Source organism: Homo sapiens, chromosome 16 (genome assembly GCF_000001405.40).
Source record: "Homo sapiens chromosome 16, GRCh38.p14 Primary Assembly".
In the NCBI taxonomy this organism is placed as follows: Eukaryota; Metazoa; Chordata; class Mammalia; order Primates; family Hominidae; genus Homo; species Homo sapiens.
In genome coordinates this window covers 86,978,235-86,984,545 of record NC_000016.10, presented here as the reverse complement: position 1 = coordinate 86,984,545, position 6,311 = coordinate 86,978,235, and the positions used below count along the sequence as shown (strand labels likewise).

At 48.4% G+C, this 6,311-nt stretch overlaps 2 annotated features.

The window, feature by feature from the left end:
- Positions 3,700-4,201: an enhancer, noted in NCBI's record as "H3K4me1 hESC enhancer chr16:87013951-87014452 (GRCh37/hg19 assembly coordinates)". NCBI's record gives its function as "activates a minimal SCP1, AML or CMV promoter by ChIP-STARR-seq in naive H9 embryonic stem cells {active_cell/tissue: H9 hESC(naive)}" and the evidence as "EXISTENCE:reporter gene assay evidence [ECO:0000049][PMID:30033119]".
- Positions 5,325-5,825: an enhancer, noted in NCBI's record as "H3K4me1 hESC enhancer chr16:87012327-87012827 (GRCh37/hg19 assembly coordinates)". NCBI's record gives its function as "activates a minimal SCP1, AML or CMV promoter by ChIP-STARR-seq in primed H9 embryonic stem cells {active_cell/tissue: H9 hESC(primed)}" and the evidence as "EXISTENCE:reporter gene assay evidence [ECO:0000049][PMID:30033119]".

Genomic DNA, 6,311 nt, shown 5'->3' with positions numbered 1-6,311 from the left:
AGATGGATTCTGCATCCCAATGATACCCCCATCGGTCTGTCGCCAGATAATTCACGACTGGCTTTTATGATCAAGTTCCCTGGGTGTGCATCCACGCCGGACGACCCAGGGCCCAGGGCACAGCTTGGAGCCAGACTGTCCCGCTCAGACCCTGGCTCTGCCCTCACTTGCTCCCTGACCTGCAGCAAATTACTCACTATCTCTGTGCCTCAATTTCCCCAACCAATAGAAGGAGGATAAAAAGCAGAATGTTTATAAGTGGAGTTGATAATGGTAGGTGCATAGCAAGCCCCTCGGAATTCCTTTTTCTTGTTGTTGGTAAGGTGATGGAAACGTAGACTCCTCAAGTCCGTGCATACCGGTCCCTTAACCCGTGCTTGTTCATATTCTGCGCTTGAGGTGAGGGTTCCAGGAGGAACCCTCAGGCTTCAGTGGATAATGATATATGTTATCTTGTTTGATTTGCGTAACATCCGAAAGCTGAGTATTATCAGTACAATTTTATAGATGAGGAATCTGTTAAGTGAGAGAAGGTGAGCCCCTTGATGAAGGCAGGGTTGCAATCAAACATAGATCTGAGTCCATAGCCCTCAACCTCACCTCAACTCCCAGCCTCCACCCCCAGCCTCCACCCTCAGCTTCCATCCCTCAAGTTCTACCTCCAGCCTCCACCCTCAGCCTCCACCTCCAAACTCCCCAGCCTTCACTCCAAGCCTCCACTCTCAGTCTCCTCCCAGCCTCCACCCCAGCCTCTACCTCCAATCTCTTCCAGCCTCCACTCTCAGCCTCCTCCCAGCCTTCACCCCCAGCCTCCACCCCTGCTTCCCTCCCCTAGCCTCCACTCTTAGCCTCTCCTCTAGGTTCTACCCCCCAAATTTTACCCCCAGGCCTTACCCTTAAGATTACCCCAGCCTCTACCTCAGCCTCAACAAACTCTTTTTTTTTTTTTTTGAGATGAGGTCTCACTCTGTTGCCCAGGCTGGCATGCAGTGGTGTGATCATGGCTCACTGCAGCCCCGACCTCCCCATGCTCAGGTGATCCTCCCACCTCAGCCTTCTGAGTAGCTAGGACTACAGGTGCATGTCACCATGCCCGGCTAATTTTTGTGATTTTTTTGTAGAGGTGGGATTTCACCATGTTGCCCAGGCTGGTCTTGAACTCCTGAGCTCAAGCAATCCTTCCGCCTTGGCCACCCAAAGTGCTGGGATTGCAGGAGTGAGCCACCACGCTGGGCCTCAACAAACTCTTGAGAAGTCCAGTCCTGACCTGTGCTTGTGTACAGGCTGCCACACATATTAGTTCCAAATTTTAAGTTGCGAGAAACGTGTATGTAACACAGTAGAGGAAAGACACAGGTCTCACCCAGATGTGATGCAGACGGAGGGCGACGTGGAGAACCGACGTCTCACCTCTGCAGCTGCTCTGGTGCAAACTCATGTCCATCAAAGGCTGCAGAAGCACTCTGTGTACTGACGTGGAGGCTCCCAGACCAGGCTACTGAGTGGAAAAGCACAGTAATGAACAGTAGCTGAGTGCGCCACAAGTATTTGCTTGAGAAGGAGAGTGGGGCTGCACGTTGACCGGGCTGGGAGCTGTGTGCACAGCTTCGCCTGAGGAAGCCAGGAGGTGGGGGACAGAAGGGGACAAAGTTTCTGAATCTAGACCTTTTAAATCATTTAGACTTCAGAATTGTGGAGATGCCTTTCCCATTAAAAATTATTAAAATTGGCTGGGTGCAGTGGCTCATGCCCATAATCCCAGAACTTTGGGAGGCTGAGGTAGGCAGATCCGGTGAGGCCAGGAGTCCAAAACCAGCCTGGCCAACATGGTTAAACCCAGTGTTTACTAAAAATACAAAAATTAGCCGGGCATGGCAGTGGGTGCCTGTAATCACAGCTACTCGGGAGGCTGAGACAGGAGAATGGCGTGAACCGGGGAGGTGGAGGCTGCAGTGAGCCATGATCACACCACTGCACTCCAGCCTGGGTGGCAGAGCGAGACTCTGTCTCCAAAGAAAAAAAAAAATATTAAAATCGTTTCAATCCTTTGTTATCTAATATCCATTTTAGGATAAGCCTGGTCTTTAATTTTTACTGAGTCACATGCAGTGGGGAGCACTCACCCCAGGGTGCCACGCAGGGGCTTTTCCAGCATCCCCCACCTGCATGCAGCTGTCACCCAGGCCAGTGCATGCAGGGCGCTTCCCCAGTGGACGGTGCCCCTTCCACGGGAGGTGCTTCCATCTGATTCTGCCACTATAGATCAGCCTCTCTTTCTTTCGTTCTTTCTTTCTCTTTCTTTCTTTCTTTCTTTCTTTCTTTCTTTCTTTTTCTTTTTCTTTCTTTCTTTTTCTTTCTTTCTTCCTTTCTTTCCTTTCTTTCCTTTTCTTTCTTTCTTCTTTTTCTTTCTCCTTCCTTCTTTCCTTCCTTTTTTCTTTCTTTCTTTCTTTCTTTCTTTCTTTCTTTCTTTCTTTCTTTCTTTCTTTCTTTCTTTCTTTCCTTCTTTCTCTCTTTCTTTCCTTCCTTTCCTTTCTTTTCTTTCTTTCTTTCCTTTCTTTCGTCTTGCTCTGTTGCCCAGGCTAGAGTGCAGTGGTGCAATCTTGGCTCACTGCAAGCTCCGCCTCCTGGGTTCAAGCCATTCTCCTGCTTCAGCCTCCTGAGTAGCTGGGACTACGGGCGCCCGCCACCACGCCCAGCTAATTTTTTTTTGTATTTTTAGTAGAGACGGGGTTTCACCGTGTTAGCCAGGATGGTCTCAATCTCCTGACCTCGTGATCCACCGGCCTCGACCTCCCAAAGTGCTGGGATTACAGGCGTGAGACACTGCGCCCCGCCACCAGCCTCACGGTTTCTTGACTTGGATGTAGCGGGGCTGTATAGAATGCGCTCTTCTTTCTCAGCCGAATGAGCGGTCCATCCACACTGTTGCTTCTAGCGGGTACAGAGATTTTAAACAACTTATTTGAGGGCGGCTCTCTTTACTGCTTGGCTATTTGACATTTCATTCCATGAAACTTCTAAGGAAAACACGTTTAAAAGATTAAGCCAGGAGCAGTGGCTCATGCCTGTAATCCCAGCATTTTGGGACACCAAGGCGGGTGGATCACTTGAGGTAAGGAGTTCAAGACCAGCCTGGTCAACATGCAAAACCCCGTCTCTATTAAAAATGCAAAAATTAGCTGGGCTTGGTGATGGGTGCCTATAATCACAGCTACTTGGGGGGTTGAGGCAGGAGAATCACTTGAATCTGGGAGGCAGAGGTTGCAGTCAGGTGAGATCATACCATTGCACTCCAGCCTGAGTGACAGAGCGAAACTCTGTCTAAAAAATAAATAAATAAAAAATAAATAAATACATCATGTCCATGTGTCAGGAACAATATTAGAGCTTTTCATGTGATCCTTCTAAAATTAAATAATATTAATAAATAATGTTAAATCCCCTGCTGTCATGAATATGTATATTTATAATGCATTTCAAAGAAATGAATTACCCAGATGAACCCTAAACTAAGAAAAGGGCACAAAACCAAAACTCACTGAGTAACAGTGTGTGCCCAGAAGTGTGTGGGAGCTGTGGGAAGCACAGCAAGGTCCACCCTGGAGACTCAGACCTGAGGGCGACCGTCATCCACTTGCCAACACACTTACTGAACACCTGCTGTGTGCCCGGCACTGTCAGGTCCTCAGACCCAGCGGCAGGCAAGTGGTCACTTTGGACAGTGAGCCGCCAGCTGCTGCCCAGTAGCAGGAGGTCACAGCGAGGTGGCACACCCCCTTAGGTCTTGTCTGACCTTGCAAGGGGTTTCAGCTCTGCAGCCACCCCAAGCCCACTGTTGTCTTCTTGCTATAAAGCTTCTCTTCTGCCTCTTTCTGCAGCTCCAACAAATGCCCTGAAGCTTTCACAACAGTGTCAGTCACGGCTCCCCAGAGAAACGGAACCAATAGGAGGATCACTCTCTCTCTCTCTCTCTCTCCCCCCCCACATCCATCTATCCATGCATGTATCTATCTATCTTCTATCTACCCATCTATCATCTATCTTCTATCCATCAGTCTTCTATCTATATATCTATCCATGTATCCACCTATCTATCCATCATCCATCTATCAATCTATTCGTCTATGATCTATCTTCTATCTATCCCTCTATCATCTATTTATCCATCTATCTATCCATCCATCAGTCTATCCATCTGTCATCCATCCATCAATCTATCCATCTCTCTATCCATCCATCAATCAAACTACCCATCAATCTTCCCAACCATTTCTTTCTATCTATCTATTTCTCTCTTCCTACCTATCTATTCATAATCCATTATCTATCTCTCTATCCAACCATCCATCTACCCACCCATCCATCAATCTATTCATCTATCTATCATCCATCCAATTACCTATAAATCAATCTATCCATCCTTTTTCTTTCTACCTACCCATCCATCATCTAACTATCTATCTATCTACCTATCTATCTATCTATCTATCATCTGTCTACCTATCCATCAGCCACCATCTGTCATCCATTAGTTTCTCTTTCTCCCCCCCCCCCACTTTTTATCTATCTCTATCTTACTCTGTTATTTTTATCTATCTCTTGTGAAAGGAAAAATCTTGGGTCCCCAAAATCACCAAGCTAAAAGGGAAAGTCAAGCTGGGAACTGCTTTGGGCAAACTTGCCTCTCATTTTATTAAAAGTCACCCCTTTTCTCACTGACATAAATACATATCTGACTGCCTCCTTTGGAAAGGCTGATTGGAAACTCAGTAGAATGCAACCATTTGTCTCTCATCCACCTATGACCTGGAAGCCCCCTCCCACTGCCTTTCCAGACCAAACCAATATGTATCTTACATATATTGACTGATGTCTCATGTCTCCCTAAAATGTATAAAACCAGGCTGTGCCCCAACCACCTTGGGTACATGTCGTCAGGACCTCCTGAGGCTGTGTCATGGACGCGCGTCCTCAACGTGGGCAAAATAAACTTTCTAAATTAACTGAGACCTGTCTCGGATATATGGGGTTCACACTCTATAGGATATATACAAATCTATATGTAAATATAAATTTATTTGCTTATTCATTTATGTAAAGGAATTGGCTGATGTGATTGTGGAGGTTACCAAGTCCAAAATCTTCGAGATAGGCCAGCAGGCTGGTGAATTGGGGAAGAGTTGCTGTTGTACGTGGACTCTGAAAGCCGTCTGCTGGCAGAATTCTCTCTTCCTTGGAGGAGGTCGGTCCTTTTCTCTTAAGACCTTCAACTGATTGGGTGAAGCCCACCCAGATTGTGGAGGGTAACTTGCTTTTCTGAAAGCCTACTGATTTAAATGCTCATCTTATCTAAAACAATAACTTCACAGCAACATCTAGATGTGTTTGACTAAGTATCTGGGTACCATGACCCAGCCAAGTTGGCACCTCGGATTAGGATGCACCACCCCGGTGGTCCTCTTTCCCAGAGCTTTGCACAGCACTCGATGGAGCCCCAGAGATCATACAAAGAGCCATGAGAAGGGTGGGGCGGGGCCTGGGGGGATAGCCTGGGCCCCTTGACCCTATAACCAAGGGCATTTCTGGTCCCTAAGCAGCCCGCCCATCCCTTGCTCAATCCCAGCCCTCGTGTTAAGGGAAGCCCAGGATGGCCATGCTGCTCACCTGGGCTCTACAGTCTTGCCCAGCCCAGCCCTGCCCTCATCTCACATCCCACATCTGGGCCTCCAGCTTCCTGGCTGCTGCATGGTTACAGTCACAGCCTCATGCTTTCAGAAGTTGCCTCATGCTTCAGGGCCTTGCCTGCCTGCCAGGCCTCCCTCTCCAACCCACTTCCTTCTTGCTGGAGCAGATCCTGAAGGCCCGGGCTTTCCGTGCCTCGGGCTCCCCTGGGCTTTGAGAGGGGTCTGCCTCAGGCCATGAGGCCCAGCCCCGTGCATGCCTTGCCTGCTCATCTCAGCGTAGGATCCTCCTGTACCACGCTCCTCTAGGGCCTTCCTGCCTCGCCCTGGGTCGCGTGCAAGATGAAAGCTGTTTGCTTAAGCCACCCAGGGAGGCTGGTGGATCCCACTTGTGTTGACTGCTGGGTTCCCAGCCTGGAGAGGATGGGGACGGTGAGAACAGACCCCAATGCTGGAGACTCAGGGAGACAGAGTACAGCACTCGCACTTGCATAAGAGATACTGCTTTATACAAAGTGTGTGTGTTAGCATTGCCCCAAACAAAGAATACACAGTGGGAGGGACCTGGCTTTCTTGGAAACAGGCACTGAATTGAGTGAGGACTTTACAGGGAAACTTCTACTGAGTTCT